The sequence below is a fragment of the Homo sapiens genome, chromosome 4 (assembly GCF_000001405.40).
Source record: "Homo sapiens chromosome 4, GRCh38.p14 Primary Assembly".
Classification (NCBI taxonomy): Eukaryota; Metazoa; Chordata; class Mammalia; order Primates; family Hominidae; genus Homo; species Homo sapiens.
In genome coordinates this window covers 57,849,616-57,868,698 of record NC_000004.12, presented here as the reverse complement: position 1 = coordinate 57,868,698, position 19,083 = coordinate 57,849,616, and the positions used below count along the sequence as shown (strand labels likewise).

The window sequence follows — 19,083 nt, the reverse complement described above, 5'->3', positions numbered from 1 at the left end:
GGCAGAAAAAGACTAACGTCTCAGGTCAGCAGTCAACAAGAAGAGCTTCCTCTCGCTTGCAGGAGGGTCAGTCTTTTTGTTCTTTCTGGTCTTCAGCTGATTGGATAAGGCCCACCCTCATTAGGGCAGGCAGTCTGCTTTATTCAGTGTGCCAATTAAAATGCTAATATTATCTCAAAACGTCCCACAGAAACACCCAGAATAACGTGTGACCAAAAACCCGGGTGCTGTTTTGTCCAGTCAAATTGACATATAAAATTAATCATCATGTAAGCTATATATTCTTACATTAAATTTCTCAGGCAGAGATCAAAAACTGGCTTCTTATGTTTACTAGACATCAGACAATATATGCCAAGCTATACAACTGGTACTTTTAGAACCTTTCTCACGTGATTGTATCTACTTTTCTTCCCCTACGGCTTGGATAGGGAAAATGCCACAGAACTCCAAAAGTAGCTTCTCTTTCAGCTTCTCCAGTTCAATTCTTTCTATCTCTTGGGTTCTGTTGTGCTTCAGGTCACAAGATTTGATTACCTTCTGTTCTACTTTGCACAGAAATAGAATGTGTTCCCTCAAATTAATATGTTAAAGTCCTAACCTTCAGTACCTCCGAATGTGACTGTATTGGAGATATGATCTTTACAGAGGTAAAATGGAGTTGTTAGGTTGGGTCCTAATCCAAAATGACTGGTGTCCTTATTAGAAGAGAACATTTGGAAACAGGCACGTACAAAAGGAAGATAATGTGAAGATCTGGAAATAAGACAGTCATCTCCAAGCCAAGGAAAGAGACCTTGAAAGAAACAAACGCTGCCAACACCTTGATCTCAGACTTCTAGACTCAAGAACTGTGAGAGAATTAATTTACATTGTTTAAGCCACCCAGTCTGTAGCACTTTATTATGGTAGCCCTGGCAAACTAATGCATCGCCTTTGCAGATCTTGCTTAGCTGGTCTAGAAACCTTAATTTGGAATGTGTGGGTAGTTACCTCCTATTATTTTGTCTTAGCTTTTGGAGGATTTAAATGGAAAGAATCTCATTTTTAGATTACTATATGTCTCTTTTTTTTTTAGTTTACTATGTATATATCTCCTTTCTAAAAATCTCTGCACTTTTTTGAACCAACTCAGTTTTATAAAACTTCAGATTTACGTACGTGCATTTTAAGTCCAAACCATTGGAGAGCATCACCTTGAATGTTGCTATTTAGACAACATTAAGTTTTGATGGAATATCAAGGGAAAAATGATTTTTAAATGGTATCTTAAGCCTGTTTCACTCTTCAAAAATAAAGAAAATGAATGAATGAGTGGATGCTTTTGATTACTAACATTAAAGATAGAACCCATATTTTATTTCATCCTGTAAGCAGAACCTGCTCAGATAAATGAGTTTGATGATGATAAGGCAGATGTAGCACAATCCAGATGACATTTCTTTACCTCTTACATCTAAAGGGGTAAGGATCTAGAGACATTAGCCATCTCTTTAAACATAGAAGTTTGGGAGTTGAAAGTTCAAACAAAATAAGAGAGAACAGTGAGTAAAATATTTTTGTAGTGCAACAGGAAATGAACATTCTATCAGAACTTCGTTAGCACATAATTAATTTATCCTCAGTTGTAAATAACAACAGTGATTCTAAAAATACATAGCTGTGTGATGCTTCTAATTTGGTCTCATAATGCCATGCGTTGACATGTGGTCAGTCTAGTACAACATGAATATGTAAATGTGGCTTTCTTCACTAGGGTAAACACACACAGTGATGATACATACTTTGGTTGATAGTTTATACAGATCTTAAGGAACAACAATTAATTTGGAAACATAACACTGCCTAAAAATTAACATTCACACCCAGAATTACTCCTCATCAGGATTTCTAAATTTGTGTACCTTTTCATATTCTTACTTATCCAGGAAACTTAATGAAATCCTAGGTGCAGAACACTTTCAGAGTGTCTGCAGTTTGTCAGCTACTCTCACATTCTCCTCACAGTGCACAGGCTTCTGTTAACAGGCAGACTTCATAGATTCTTTTTGTCAAGAGCTTATTGGAAACAGAAGTCTATTCTGTCTGCTAAATGTGAGGAACTGAGATTCAAGTTCTGGCACAGCTAAGCTGTCAACAAAATGCAGTTATTGGGCTGATGTCCAATTTTCTAATATTGACCTGGGTCTTAAGAATCCTAATAAAGTAAAGTACTAGTGGCAACTCCAGCCAAAAGCATGCCCTGGACACCTTCATGTTTTATGAGGACCCATATCAATTTTCTATGACAACATCTAATATCTGCTTTTTTACCTGTGATGTGTTAGCACCAGGTTCCTGACAAGTAAGTCTCCCAAACTCGAGGCATTGCATTGCCGTGGAAATCAGACACTCAAATGCCAATATTCAGAACTCACCTTTCCCACTTTCATGAAAAGTCCAAATGCTTATGAAACCTGTGAAAATATTTCAAATGATATTCTTAGTAAAACCTTTCTGATTCAAGTCAAACACAGTTGAAATTTCTGTTAGAAGTGGAGGTAGGAAAAGATGGCGAGTGATTGTTTTTGTATTAACTCTCTCCTTTCAGGGAAGACTGACTTTAAAGAAGTAAAGTTTCAAACCCCCTACCACATTTTGTTTAAGCTTTATACCCCTTTGTTTAAAAAGTAATTCTTTAGTTTTTTTGTTTGCTTGTTTGATTTTGTTGTTGTCGTTGTTAGCTAAATTCACACCACTGGTTGAGATTTAAGTGATAATCAGGAGCTCCCAGCCCAGACACTACACAAACCCTCCCTAAGTTTCTATAGGTTTCCAAGGGTTATAGCCTTGTGGTTGCATCTGGCTCTAAATTCCTCTTTATACTGAACTCTTATCATAATTTTTATTCCTTTTTTGTATATCTCATACTGAACTAGACTGATGCCTAACCCTTTTTAATTTTCCACAAACCACCCAGACAAATCAATCGTATATGTAATAGGCTTTACTGACCTTTTAGGGCAATGGAAAGAATTCTAGGCTGCCTCTTTGCAAATTCTCTTATCCCAACAAATCCTTTGGCCATTTTGCCCCCGAGAATTTTTCACTGGCCATAATTCTGGCTTGAGTCTTTTACCAGGTTGCTTGACCCACTGTTCCATTTTCCTTATAGCTCTCCTTATGGCTTTTTATGTTTACCTTTTGTAAGATTGGCCAAAATGTGGTTTCTCCCTTTCAGTTCAGATTTTCTCACCTTATTTAGCTCACTTCCTCTAAGTTTGCTCTGAGACTACAGTTTCACTTTCAAAGACTCATTAATGTGTGATTTTAAAAAAGGGCCACAGCACTCTGTCTTATCCATTGGCAGACCCAAGTGTGGGGTAGTCTTTTTCTCCTCATTCCCCTTCAGTCATTTTTAGTTAGCAGAAATAGAAAAAGTTATTTTCCCTTCACAGGAAAATAAGCATATAGCTCCCAAAATAAACATGACTATATTCGACTAGCTTTGGTTCTAAGTTATCAAAGTTCATGGAACATTTGAAATTTGGATTGGCCTTTCTCTTTCTGGTGAAAAATAAACACCTGTTACTATTTTTTTTATGGCATTTCACAATGTGGGCATATGATTTTTGCTTTGGCAAGACTTTTGGAAATGGAAAGATTAGAAAGAGCCCACCAAAATCTTTTCCAAATGATCATATGTTAAATATATTAGCCTTTTACGTTTGAGAGAGTATGGTTAAACACTACTGAATTATGTTGCACTTTCTGGGTCAAAGAATTGCATATGCAAGAATAGATCCAGAATAAATTTCAAAACAAACTAAAACATATGCCAGTAGCCATCTTTTGAGATGTTCTCAGAACTATCTTAACTGTGCTTATTGCCAAATCAAAGATTAAAGTACAGTAACACATACAAAAGTATCACACAAGTTCAGTTCTCCATGTCCTAAATAGATACTCAATGAATCTGAGCAGAAAGATGTGAAGCTTCCCCCACTTTCTTTCAGTGGTTAGTTATCTCAGTTGGTGATTTTTTTTTTGCTTGCTTATTTATTTATTATTTGTTTTTCTTCTTGTTCATAAAAATACTATATTGCAAGGTAAAATGTAGAAATAATTTTTAAAAGGGGCAAATAGGTCAGGCATTGTGCTTCACACTTGTAATCTCAGCACCTTGAGAGGCCGAGGCAGGAGAATCCCTTGATCCCAGGAGTTCAAGACCAGCCTGGGCAATATAGGGAGATCCTGTCTCTATAAATTATAAAATAATAAATATTAGCCAAGCATGGTGGCCCGTGACTGTGGTCCCAGCTACTCAGGAGACTGAGGTGGGAGGATAGCTTGAGCCCAGGACGTTGAGGATGCAGGGGCTGCAGTGAGCCATGATTATGCCACTGCACTCTGGCCTGGGTAGCAGAGTGAGACCCTATATCAAAAAAAAAATAAAGAAAAGAAGAAGAAGAAGAAAAGGAAACAGAAGAAAAAGAGGGAGCAAATAACAGACAACAAATAAGAAATAAAGAAAACAAGAACGAGGAAAGAGCATATACAATGGAATCATGGATAAGACTTAAACGTAATAACAATATACTATAAAGCCTTTTTTCATATGTATACCAAGACATTGGTAATAGATGGTAATTTGAGATAGTTCATGGCTTTTTTCATGTATGAATAGGGCTGTAGTTTGCAGATTTAATCTCAATTATAATAGATGCTCACAAATTTATTCCGATTGTTATGTCAGGGTCACTCTGACATTCATTTAGAGAGTATTTTTTTAATGGCATATGCAGACGTGGAGACAGAACAAGAAGAAAGCCTCCAAATATTTTAGCTTTCTGGACGGTTTTTATGGTGTTCACATTTGTGGGTAAAGAATGACTAGCAATGTTTTTTCTTTAGGAAAGCATGAGACGTCATATGATGAAACTTTGAGTGGTGAAGTCTTTGCAAACTCTCTTAAATCTAATGACTTCTGGGTACAACTATACTTTGTCATATGAAAAGAAAAGTTACTTTTTTCTCTGGTGTCTGTTGATAGCTTTGAAGTGAGTTTGTGTCATTTTTTTCCCTCTAAGCCCCACTTAAATCAGCTTCCTAGAGACTTGGAGCCAAAAAAAAAAAAAAAAGACTTGAGAGAAAAAGAAAATTAAATGTTTTTTACATATGCACTTGGGTGATTTCTATAGTAGACAAAACATTTAAAATGTTATATTAACTGCTAAGAGTTTAGAATTCATTGATAATATAAGATGGAAAAAAAAGGTATGTATGTGTATTAGTCCATTTTCATGCTGCTGATAAAGACATACACAAGACTGGGCAATGTACAAAAGAAAGAGGTTTATTGGACTTACAGTTCCATGTGGCTGGGGAGGCATCACAATCATGGTGGAAGGCAAGGAGGATCAAGTCACGTCTTACATGGATGACAGCAGGCAAAAAGAGAGATAGTTCGTGTAGGGAAACTCCCGTTTTTAAACACATCAGATCTCATGAGACTCATTCACTATTACAAGAACGGCACAGAAAAGACCTTCAGTCACTTCCCACAGGGTTTCTCTCGCGACATGTGGGAATTGTGGGAGTTACAATTAAAGACGAGACTTGGGTGGGACACAGCCAAACCATAACGGTACATGTGCATCTGTACTTGATGAATTAACTGCTAACTGTATTTACAGACTGTAGCATATAAGATAAACTGTCTTAGGTTATGCATCGTTATAATGGGGAGTGTCTCCAAAAAATTTAGTATCACTTAAAATTGACCATGCATATTTTCAAATACAATAGCATTAGGCTTTGACTTTTAGATAAGTGTATCAGATAATAGAAAGTACAATCAAGTCTTTTAGAAACACTTTGCTGTTAAAGTATTGACTCTTAAAGGAATTATAAGAAGGGTATGTGGGGAGATAGGGTGAGCATGTTTGCATGAAGTGATGCAGAATAGAAAATGATTTCCTTTATTTTTTGAAGACACAGGACTAAGATTGGCTTAAATGTTTAATATTTTCTTATCTGTTAACTTAAGAAGTTATTTAAATCTGATTTTGGTTTCTCTTTTTAAGAAATTTTGCATTTATGGGTCTAGCCTGGCTCTTCTAATTGCTGATACTGTACTCTTGGATAATTTGTAAGACCTCTGAGTCTTTGCTTTCTTAACAGTATAATAGGGATGAAAACAGGGGATAGCTTTCTGATGAGTGAGGGTAGGAATTAAGTAAGGTAATGTATCTAGAGTAGTGCCAGGTGTGTATTAGTTACTATTATTACTTTGATCCTTAAATGCAAGATGAATTCACATGATGATTTAGGCATTTTCTTGGGAAACATACTATAAGAAAATATGGATGTTTCTTTGGTACATCATGCTTCCTTTGCTGAGAGGCTGCTATAATCCATCTCCAGAGGAAGCATCTTTGGCGCGTTCTTGATGCACACTGTAAGACTGCAGAGTAATTAGAGTTTATTTTTTTAGACCAAGAAGTTTTGACTTTCAGGTTGTCAATCTTTCACCTGTTCTACATTTGTGCCCTTTATGTGAAAGCTGCACCAAGAGGAATAAAATATTCCCTTTACGTACTGCAGACTAATGAGAAACAATTGACCCTATTTATCAATATCATCCTTAAAATCTTCCCTCTGTGCCACTTTCCTTCCCTTTGAATGCAAATGGTGCATTGTACATAATTCATCTTTGTGTTTCTTATTTTACTATATAGTACTCAAGGGTTCAGTTTATATTTTTGTGTATGTGACATTCACTGGAGTTTCAATTAACATCTAAAACCAAATTCCAAAAGTTATATAAACTTGTGTGCCTTAGACTGCTATGGGGATTGTATCGCAGGCAGAGATAAAGAAAGATTTCATTGGGATTCTGCTTCACCTAATAGCATAGCACTGCCTTTGTGGCACAAAGAGCCTTAGAGAAAAAAATAACGTTGCCTCCCATTCCAACTTTTACAGGCTTCCGTTCAAATCAGCTAATGTGGAGAATTTGCAATGAAGTTGCTTTGGATCCTTAATTGTTTGTTTCTTTATTTATTTTTACATGGCATCAAGAAGCCTGTATTTAGTATATACTATTAAAAAATATTGATTCAAACTAGGAATCAATTAAAATTCTAAAAACTCTTCATAAATCACTTAATGGAATAGAGAGAGTTTAGGATAATAATAAATGGATCAGTTTTATTAAATAAGTAAATCCTCTTTTAATACCACATTGCAAGTAGGAAGTTCATATATTTTGCTATTTATCAAGTACTTTAATTAGAATATTTTAAAGCTAAATACGTCCATTTGTACGTACAGGGGAAGTACAATTACTTTTCTCATCTTTACAGGGATGAGATATACTGGACAAGTTTTGTTTTTTAATCACACAAGAAAAGATATTTCTAAGCAGTTTTCCAGATTTATAACCTGTATAAGTTTTCATTCAGTTATTTTTCTGTAAGGGCATATAACCTCACAAGTTAGTTGTTTAGAAATTTGTTTCACAACCAATTATAAAAATATATAACTGAATGTTTCCTTACAACAGCCTTTTAGAAGATGCTATTATAAACATTCAACTTTTATTTGCACATCCACAAAAATTTTAAGAAGCTACTGTGAGATGGAGCATCACATTGATAAAGCAGTGTTAAAAATAACAGTGGGGAAAGTTTAATGAACGATGGTTAGAGGGAGATAAACTGAAGGCATTTTTTCCTGTTTCTACTTTACAGGGGGAAAATATAGAAAATAGGATATGTAAATACTGCACAAGACCTGATAGTATACTACCCAATAGTATCAGGTAGTAGGGAAGAGTTGTTTGGTTTCCACAGATGTCACGATAAAGCTTCTGGCTTTTGGTTTCAGAAAGCCATTTTCACATTTCACACACTTCCACACACACTATACACACACTGACACATACCCTATATATCTCAAAGTATTTTTCCATTGTTTCTGTTGTTTAGTGCTGCAGTGTCTCTTGCCTTAGTTCTATCTCCTTTTTTTCTCTTTGACTTGTTGACCTCTGCTCTGAATTGTTCCCAGTCCCTTCTAAGTCTGAAATTCTTTGATTCAGTGATTCTACTTATGTTCTGTACTTAGCAGGTGTATTTATTTCAAGCCAATTGAGGAATATATAATACTAAGTTGCTTTTCTACTTCTTTTTCTAGTTGGCGAACATATAGAATTACAGAAAATTATAGGAGAAAAACAGGATAGATGACTTTTATTCGTTCATTCCCAAGTGATTGCTTACTATTTCCCAAGGGCTCCACTAGATACTAGATACACAAATAAGACTAGGTTTCAATTAATGCATCAGAAACTGTCAGTGAAGTAGAAGAGTCAGACACATAAACAAGGACAAATGAAATAAAGTAATACAAGTACTATAACTAATGTATACATAGGTCACAAAACCAGAGCTGGTCAGTTCTCCCTGGGCAGCCTGGCCACCAGGAACCTGATGCCTGGGCTTCATTTAAAAGATGAATTGATTTTGACATACTGGGTAGGTCATTCCAGGCAGAGGGAGATGTGTGAGCAACACACATAAGTATTCAGTACAACTAAAGAGTAGAGATGGTCTTCCATTGGAGGAGTTGGATTTCATAATGTCAGATATTGGTCTCCTATTTGTGGTAAGTGTACCAAATGCTTCATATATTCCATTGGAGTACAAGAATATATTAGAATTTCTATTTAAATTGATTTTATATCATCTTTTAATTTTTATTACTTTTTAGTGTGGGTTATATATATTTCTGTGTGTGTGTCTAATTTATAAGTAAACAAATGTAGTCTGTCAGGTGTATGCTTAAAAGCTGCTTAAGAATGAGACGTGCAAACAAAATGTTTAGAGATGACTACTCTAGGAATCAGAGCTTTCAAAGAGTTTTGAACTGAGGCCATCTGTTTGGCATTGTGGAAGAAGGTGATCAAATTATTAAGAATTACCGAGATCAGCATTTTAAAAATCAGAATAGTGTAAAGCAAGTAGTCAGTGAAAAGTAGATACTATTATTCTAGTAGAAGTCATATAGAGAAGATGTCGTTGAGAGGAGAAAATATGGGACTCGGCATTCAGTGTCCTTAAATCACGAGTCTGACAACCATGTGAATTTTTGGCAAGATTAAATTCTCAAAAGCACAATGTTCTTACCAGCTAGATAAGAATAACAATTTTTACCTCACCACTTTGTAATGAAGATTTCAGACAATAAATATAAAGGACCAGGTATAGACCATGGTCCATAGTAGATGCTCAATCAATACCTTTATATAGAAACAAACAAACTTATTGCAATTATGATATAATCGCTGCCCTCTTATTCAGAAGACTTTTCTGCTTCTTTTTCTTTTTATTCTCATTTATTTGGATTTATAAAACTCCACAGTGCTTTCAAGACAAGGATCTTCACAGACAAATGTGTCAAGAGTGTCTAGGGAATCTTTCTCTGTTCTCCTAAAGCAAATACTTATTTTTAACAGTGGTCTTATATTCTATAAAACTATTAAAATAATATCTTCATATGTAATATTATATATGACAGAAAGATAAATTTAAGCCAATGTTCACACTTGACCATATTCACACTCCATATTAACAGTGGAGAGACTCATGATTTTTGAGTCTTATTTTGGCCTTTACTCAGGTTCTGACTCTGGACAAGAATCAGTTTGGGCTAAATTTCAATAGCTTGGGAAAGGTCCTTGACAACTGATGTCTACATAGAATTGTGTCTTAATACTCCTATGAAAATAAGAGTAACTCTATATGTTAAATAATTTCAGAGTGTAAACACAGCTGTTTTGACCTCTCTTCCTTTTGCTTTAAGTATGTGTGTGTGTGTATGTGTGTGTATGTAGGTACACACATATATATACATGTAGAAACTCTGCTTTCTATTTAATGATGCATGTATGCAGATTATTCAGTTGAGCCAACATGACTTAAATATATACACACACATATATACACATATATGTATGTACACACACATATATATACACATATATGTATGTACACACACATATATACACATATATGTATGTACACACATATGTATATATACACATATATGCATATATACACATATACACACGTATGTGTGTGTGTATATATTTTTAAAGTCATTTTGGCTCAACTGGAAAATCTGCATACATGCACCATCAAATGCAAAGCAGAGTTTTAAAATTATGAAGTAGGCATGACTTTATTGAATAATTTGCTATTCTACCCAGGTGTTATCAGAAGGAATTGATGTGCATCAATTATCAGTAAAAAATTTAAAATAATTATTTGTGGTAGATACTATAAGAAATTTGATGATGGCATATTCTATAATTTCACATAGGATTTAACTTGTTTAATTACACAAAGATACATTTTGAAAATAATTTATCTTGGTAGGATCACCAGTATGTTGGGGGGGAATATAAATCAAAGGTTTCAGGTCAACCTTAAAAATAAAATGTATCACAGATTAATTATTTTCTAATTCTGATTTACTGCATATTTTTATCCTGCTTGGAATTTGCATTTGGTCAAACTTTTTTACATCTATTGAGAGACACTGTAGGGGAATGAGAGTCACAGTAAGATGTTGGCAATAGGAAGACACTCAAGTGTTTCAAGAAGGCAAGTGACATGTCCGATTTATATTTTTAAAAGATCACTCAAAGTGCTAGGTGTAGAATGGGTTGCAAGGGATGGGGTATGTCAAAATTTAAATATTAAAAAAACATAAAACAAAAGACACTATAAATGACCAAAAGAAGCCATGGCAAACAAAGTTAAAATTCAGGCAGGAGCCCGGGGAAAATATTTACAGCATATATAAAAGACAATGTTAGTATGCTGAGATAGATAAAAGTCCTAAAATCAATAAGAGCAAAATGAGCTAATGGAAATAGGCAAGAAATGTGAATGGGCAATTCACGCAATTCACAGATGAAATATTAATATGGCCAATAACATAGGGTAACAAATTCAATTCAACCTGGGTTTGAGAAATTACAAGCAATGAGTTACAAATTTTTATTTATACATTTAAAAAAGAGTTTAATCATATTAATTAAGAATGAAATGAAACAGTATCATATGCTGCCATTGAGAGTGTGACTAAATATAAGCACTTTAGAATTAAAAATGTATTTGTTTTGTGTCTACCTTCCATGACAGACATAGTCCAAAGGATGTAAAAAGATATTTAGTAGAATTATATTGTTTATATGTATACATATAATATGTGCGTATATATGTGTATGTATACTATGTATAGTATACATAGTAGTCATATACATATACATAGTATATAGAGAGAGTATATACACTACACATATAGTATATAGAGTATATACACTACACATATAGTATATAGAGTATATACACTACACATATAGTATATAGAGTACATACACTACACATATAGTATATAGAGTACATACACTACACATATAGTATATAGAGTACATATACTACACATATAGTATATAGAGTACATATACTACACATATAGTATATAGAGTACATATACTACACATATAGTATATAGAGTACATATACTACACATATAGTATATAGAGTACATATACTACACATATAGTATATAGAGTACATATACTACACATATAGTATATAGAGTACATATACTACACATATAGTATATAGAGTACATATACTACACATATAGTATATAGAGTACATATACTACACATATAGTATATAGAGTACATATACTACACATATAGTATATAGAGTACATATACTACACATATAGTATATAGAGTACATATACTACACATATAGTATATAGAGTACATATACTACACATATAGTATATAGAGTACATATACTACACATATAGTATATAGAGTACATATACTACACATAGTATATAGAGTACATATACTACACATAGTATATAGAGTACATATACTACACATAGTATATAGAGTACATATACTACACATAGTATATAGAGTACATATACTACACATAGTATATAGAGTACATACACTACACATAGTATATAGAGTACATACACTACACATAGTATATAGAGTACATACACTACACATAGTATATAGAGTACATACACTACACATAGTATATAGAGTATATACACTATACATAGTATATAGAGTATATACACTATACATAGTATATAGAGTATATACACTATACATAGTATATAGAGTATATACACTATACATAGTATATAGAGTATATACACTATACATAGTATATAGAGTATATACACTATACATAGTATATAGAGTATATACACTATACATAGTATATAGAGTATATACATAGTATATATACTATACATAGTATATATATACAGTATATATACTATACATAGTATATATATACAGTATATATACTATACATAGTATATATACTATACATGTATATATAGTATATATACTATACATAGTGTGTATGTATAGTATATATACTATACATAGTGTGTATGTATAGTATATATACTATACATAGTGTGTATGTATAGTATATATACTATACATAGTGTGTATGTATAGTATATATACTATACATAGTGTGTATGTATAGTATATATACTATACATAGTGTGTATGTATAGTATATATACTATACATAGTGTGTATGTATAGTATGTAATCATATGTATATGACTCTATACTATATATACTATATACTACATATATAGACTACATACTATATACTATATATAGACTATATACTATATATAGACTATATACTATATATAGACTATATACTACATACTATGTATAGACTATATACTATATATAGACTATATACTGTATACTATATAGACTATATACTATATATAGGCTATATATTATATACTATATAGACTATATACTATATATTTCTATATACTATATACACTCTATATACTACTATATATACTCTATATACTATATATATACAGTATACATATACTGTATATATATAGTATATGTATATATGTGTGTTAAAAGATAAACAATGATATGTGCTTTCTACAGGGACATATTCATGAACATAGAAATATATAGGAAAAGGTGTGGAAACATGAACACCAACCTGGTTATAATAATTATCTCTGGGTGAATAACCAGACTTTGCAAATCAGCAAATCAAAAAATAATTTAATCTTCTTGTTCCCATTTTTTAAATCAGGAAAATGTATTTCATGTAAAGACAGTATAATAGAGTGAGTAGAAGTGCAACCTCTGGAGTCAGACTGGATGATTTTAAATTGTACCTCTGTCATTTACACACATGTGACTTTGGGCAAGTTACTTACATTCTTCCTTCCTCTGGGTTTTTATCTGTAAAATGAAGATAGAAATGGAATTTCTTATACATCTTCTTGAATATAGTTGATAATTAACTGAGATAAAAATATAGAGATAGATATAAATAGATACATAAAGGGTTTGGCATCAACCCTACCACACAGTACATGTTAATTCTCAAGACACGTGTAATTTGAAGTATTTCTGAAATTCAGTGTGATTCTAAGGAAAGAGATTACTGTCAATTTTGGAAAATGTATACAGAGATATGATTGCAGATCTACAGAATGATAGAGAAACTTTAACAGAAAACGGAAACTTTAAGCCTCAGATTGAGATAGGTTTATGAGAGGAAACATGCATCAGTGAAGAAAACACTTCTGGCTGCATTAAGGAGTTCACTTAAGGATGTTGTGAGAGAAAAGCATGAAGCGTGAAAGCCTTTGAATTCCATGCTTAGGGGTTTGAACTTTATCTCTGTAGCAAAGAGTCTCTGATGATTTTTGAGCAGAGGAATGACATGGTATGTTAGCTCTTTTAGTTTCACTTTCCTATTCTAGTATACAGGATTGATTGTAGAGGTACAACCAAAGCAAGCACATATGTTATGACTATAACAATATTTTGTATGGTGAAAAGGACGTGGACTAAAAATAGCTAGAGAGGGAAAGAAAGAGCAATAGTGCCTGGGAATCTTCTGATTTCCAAGAGTGCATTGTCCTTATCCTCAATAAGAGTTTCCAGATTCAGAAAACAAAAACATAGGCAACCCAGTTGAGTTTGAATTCCAGATAAATAACAAAAAGCTCCTTTATGTAAGTGTGAACATCCCAAAGTCTATCTAGCAGTCCTCTTCCCTGGTCCACACTTTATCTTTTCATTCAAGTACTGATTTCAGGCAGTGCTTTAACTCTCTTGTTTGACTGTCAGTTTGGTGGTGTGAGAAGATAGAAGTATATACATTATAGTCACAACTGCTCATTCAGTGAGATAATGGTTATATCTTCTGTTGGAAACATTCTTCTTCATATTTAAAGAAGAGCCTAAAGTGGGGACAGAAAGCAAAATATTTGTGAGTGGGCTATTAGTGGCAGGAGATGCCTCCGCTCTCACACCACATCAGTCACTGGTTCAGGGCCGATGGTGCATCTTTGGATTACATCCCAGCACCGCAATGTGTTATCACTCTACTAAGACTGTTAGGTTGTCTTTAATAAGTTATCCCATTCTTCCATTAAATCACTTTTCCATTACAATGGCTGATTTGTTACATAGTAAAACAAGTAAGTCCTCTGGGTTGAGCTCATTTATCACTACTTTGCCTATAAAAACATTACTTGGTCAGACATAGCAGTAAACATAGCATTCAGCAAGTCTACACATGGTGGTGCTAGCAGAAGCATAACGGACAACAAAGGCTAATTCATATTTAGACTATGTGTCTTTTCAAAGAGGATGGTGGGACTGTAAACTAGTTCAACCATTGTGGAAGTCAGTGTGGCGATTCCTCAGGGGTCTAGAACTAGAAATACCATTTGACCCAGCCATCCCATTACTGGGTATATACCCAAAGGACTATAAATCATGCTGCTATAAAAAAACGTATGTTTATTTTTTTATGTATTAAAAAAACGTATGTTTATTGAGGCACTATTCACAATAGCAAAGACTTGGAACCAACCCAAATGTCCAACAATGATAGACTGGATTAAGAAAATGTGGCACATATACACCATGGAATACTATGCAGCCATAAAAAAGATGAGTTCATGTTCTTTGTAGGGACATGGATGAAATTGGAAATCATCATTCTCAGTAAACTATCGCAAGGACAAAAAACCAAACACCGCATGTTCTCACTCATAGACGGGAATTGAACAATGAGAACACATGGACACAGGAAGGGGAACATCACACTCTGGGGACTGTTGTGGGGTGGGGGGAGGGGGGAGGGATAGCATTAGGAGATATACCTAATGCTAAATGATGAGTTAATGGGTGCAGCACACCAGCATGGCACATGTATACATATGTAACAAACCTGCACATTGTGCACATGTACCCTAAAACTTAAAGTATAATAATAATAAAAAAAAAGAGACTAAAGAAAAAAAAAGAGGATAAATCTTTTCGCCCTTCAAAATGGAAGAGGTCAAATGTAATTCACTTGCCATCTGGAGACTGGATGGTCTCCCCAGCAAATGGTGTCATTACAGGAGCTCAGCATGGGTTTCTACTATTGGCAAGTTGGGCATTTATCAGTGGCAATAGCTGTAGTAGTCTTGGTGAGTGGTTGTGCATTTTATTAACCTGTATCTGGCCCCTTCTTCTGTCATTATGGAGGGTTTATCAAGGAATCCATTGAACAAGTACAAGAGGGACTGAGGAAAGAGGCTGCCTGACATTCACAGAATGGGTCATCATGTTTTACCTAAACACTATGAGCCTTTAATGAGTGAATATCCTCTGGTGAGGATTGATGTATAACAGTATATCTTTATACTCAAAGTTCCATCCGTGTATCTTTCCTTTGTACTTGTTTTGTCAAAAATTCACAAAACTTGTTTTTCCAGATCCCCAGCCATTCAGCCAAATTAGCCCTGGCCTACAAATGGATACAAATCCATATCTATGGCCATTGTTCCTTCAAAACAAACTGAACATACATGTATTAAGGCCATTAGGAGTATTTTTATCTTTCCCATCCTCCAGGCTTTTGTAGCCATCCCTGAGTGAAACTGCAATACTAGTATTTCAGGTTGGTGCCAATATAAAATATGAAACCATATGTAATTGAGGTCCTAATGTACTTTTTTCTTAGTCAGTTTATCAGACATAACTCTCTGTGAAACTATAGATGGACTTGAAAGAGAGAGATTGCAATGCAACAGTAGCAGGTGCCTTGAAAGTTAGTGACTTGTTCACGCTTACATATGGCTACAGAACACAGCTTCACTTGTTAATGGAGTACCACTGTATATGCCTAACATTATGGCTCAGCCTAGTGGATCAGATAGTGCAATAGATTTCTATTGCTATGTACAAATTACCATAAATGTAGTGGCTTAAAACAACACCCATTCATTAACTCACAATTCTATAGGTCAGTGGTCTGGCATGTCATGAATGGGTTCTCCGCTCAGGGTCACACAAGGCTTAAATCAAGTCAAGAGGAGAACTGTTTCTTTCTTGAAGCCCTGGGTAAGAAGCTGCTTCCAAGAGCATTCGGGGTTTTGGCAGAATAAAGTTTCTTATGTTTGTAGGACTAAGATTCCTGTTTCTTTGCCATATGACTTTCATCATCCTCAAGTCAGCAATAGTGCATCCAATCATTTCCATGCATCAGATATCTTGACTATTTCCTCTGTACTAACTGCAGAAAACTTTGTTTTTAAATGGCTCAATTGATTAAATTATCTCCACTGGGATAATCACATATTTTAAGGTCAACTGATTAATAACCTTAATTACACCAGCAAAGTGCATAGTGTTCTCCCACTTTGATTTGCCAGAAGTTTATAGAGCATCTGTATCTTCTTCCAAAGACATCTTAGATACCAATGAGTCTAGTAATGCTCAGCTGAAGAAACATTTCTTGTTTCAGAGTGCACTCAATATCAGCAGCCTTATGGATTACATGGTTTCAAGTCAGGTCATTGTTCACCCAACCTATTTTTTTTTTCAATTATATGAATCAAGTAGTTTGTAGGTTCCCACTTATTTCAGTGCTAGAGGAACATTACGATTAATTAGTCACACCATTCTGTCAGACCATTTTGACAGAATGAGCCAAGCCACTCTGTGTCTCTAACCTTGCTATCCATTTGGTACCACACTCATTTTTTACATGATTGAGTACTGCCATTCCCATCAAGCCCTTGGTAGCCCATTTTTATGGTGGAATAAAACACCACTGTTTATCCCCAGCTTGCCACAACAGGTGCTACAAAGATTTTTAAGGATGCTGGTGCTCCCTCACAAATATATTTCCCAATGCTACTGTAAAGTAAGTATCCTGTGATTTTCTGTGGGATATAGGTGTATAATGGGAGTGAGAGATTAAGTTGCATATGATAAATTCAGTTCAATATTTCTATATCATTAAATTATTGGATTCCTTTTTTAAGAAAAACAAAGAACTTTTGGTTCCAAACCATTCATCCTGGTTTCAGCCAACCAATCAAAAAAGCAATATAACCCATTTCTATTTCCTTCACCTAAAACCTTGAATCAAAATCTACAAAGTGTCAGCCCATTTAAGTAAGTTCATCCTTGTCCAGTGTTTGCCCTTTTGTCTTTGGTCAAATACTTTTACAGTTCAACCCCCACATTTAGTCTGTGGGATTCTGTTGACATAAATGAACAAAACGTTGCAATTATTAAGGTTTGAGAATTATCTTTCCCCAGACCACACATTATACTAGTCCCCTTTAGGTATGCTAGGACCTTTTGTTACAGATTTGGAAGCCAAGAGGATTACTGTGTGCCTTGAGGAGTATTTACATCCTTTTATAAATTACTTACTGTCTTAGTTTGTTTTGTGATGGTATAAAAAAAAAACAGAGGCTAGACACTTTATAAAGAAAAAAGGGTTATTTGGCTCACAGTTTTCAGGCTGTACAAGAAGCAGGTTGCCACATCTGCTTGGCCTCTAGTGAAGGTTTTTGTGTTGCATCCAACATAGTGGAGAAGGTGAAAGTGGAAATAGGCATATGTGAAGAGGGACTGAACACAAGGGTGTCCTGGCCTTATGACACCCATATTCTCAGGAATTAATTCACTTCCTGAAAACTAATCCATTCTTATGAGAGCCAGGACTCACTTACTACCACCAAAATGGCACCAAGCCATACATGAGAGATCCATCCCCATGATCCAGACACCTCCTACTAGGTCCCACCTCTCAACTCCAACATATTGGAGTTCACATCTCAACACAGAACTTGGTGGGGACAAACAAACTATATCCAAACCACAGCACTTACCTTAGGTAATGTTATTATATGATCAAGCTGGGAAATAGCTTGCATCACTTGTGTCACATTCCCTGAGTCAGAATTTAGCTATATGGCCACACATAACTTCAAAGAAAGATAAGAACATAGTTTAGCTGTGTGTCAACAGGAACACATTTTGATAAACACAAAACTTGCTCCCACTCTCTTATTCTCATTTAAAGGAGAATACTGCCTCTTATTCTTACACAAAATCAAATAAATATTTTAAATAAATTTTACACTTATTCACACACAGAACTCAGTCACTATCTCTACAAAGTCCCATCCACTCACCGCAGTCAGCTCAAGGTCCAGAAACTGCAGGTGATGCACAATTCTCATCATCAGGTTCAGATGCATCGCCCCATGATTCATAAGGAAGAAACCAAAATCCGTATTATCTTCCTAAAACACTCAGTGGTGGAGCAGGAAAAGAAGACACCCAATACAATCTCTTGTTAGGAAAAAAGAAGAATGAATGGCACGAGGCAGTCAATGGCTCGTAGAAAGTATGAAATCTTGATGGGGAGTCACTGCAAAGGCCGCATACCCTGAGATGAAAAAATAGTCTTAATTATATCCAAAATCTTATTTCTGGCAAGAATTGTTCTCTGAAAACCCTGGTTTGGCCCTCTTGGAAGTATGTCTTTATTTGATACCCATTATTATCTAATTATGTAGGAAAAATGTCTGGCTTCCTTGGGAGCTGAGCAAATTTTGTCCCTTTATGCTTGTAGCTCTTTTTTATTTGTTTCTAGCTAGTTTCTTCCCCTAGTAACTCCATAC

The 19,083-nt window shown here is 34.5% G+C and overlaps 1 long non-coding RNA gene across 1 annotated transcript; it reads right to left on the bottom strand.

Moving 5' to 3' along the window:
• Positions 1-14,029: 14,029 nt before the first annotated feature.
• On the bottom strand, positions 14,030-18,842 carry LOC105377670 (uncharacterized). The gene is made up of 3 exons (XR_941084.2): positions 18,592-18,842; positions 18,286-18,381; positions 14,030-14,343 (listed from the first exon to the last, which is right to left on the bottom strand). It is a non-coding gene; the product is annotated as an uncharacterized LOC105377670 (long non-coding RNA).
• Between the last annotated feature and the right edge of the window lie 241 nt (positions 18,843-19,083).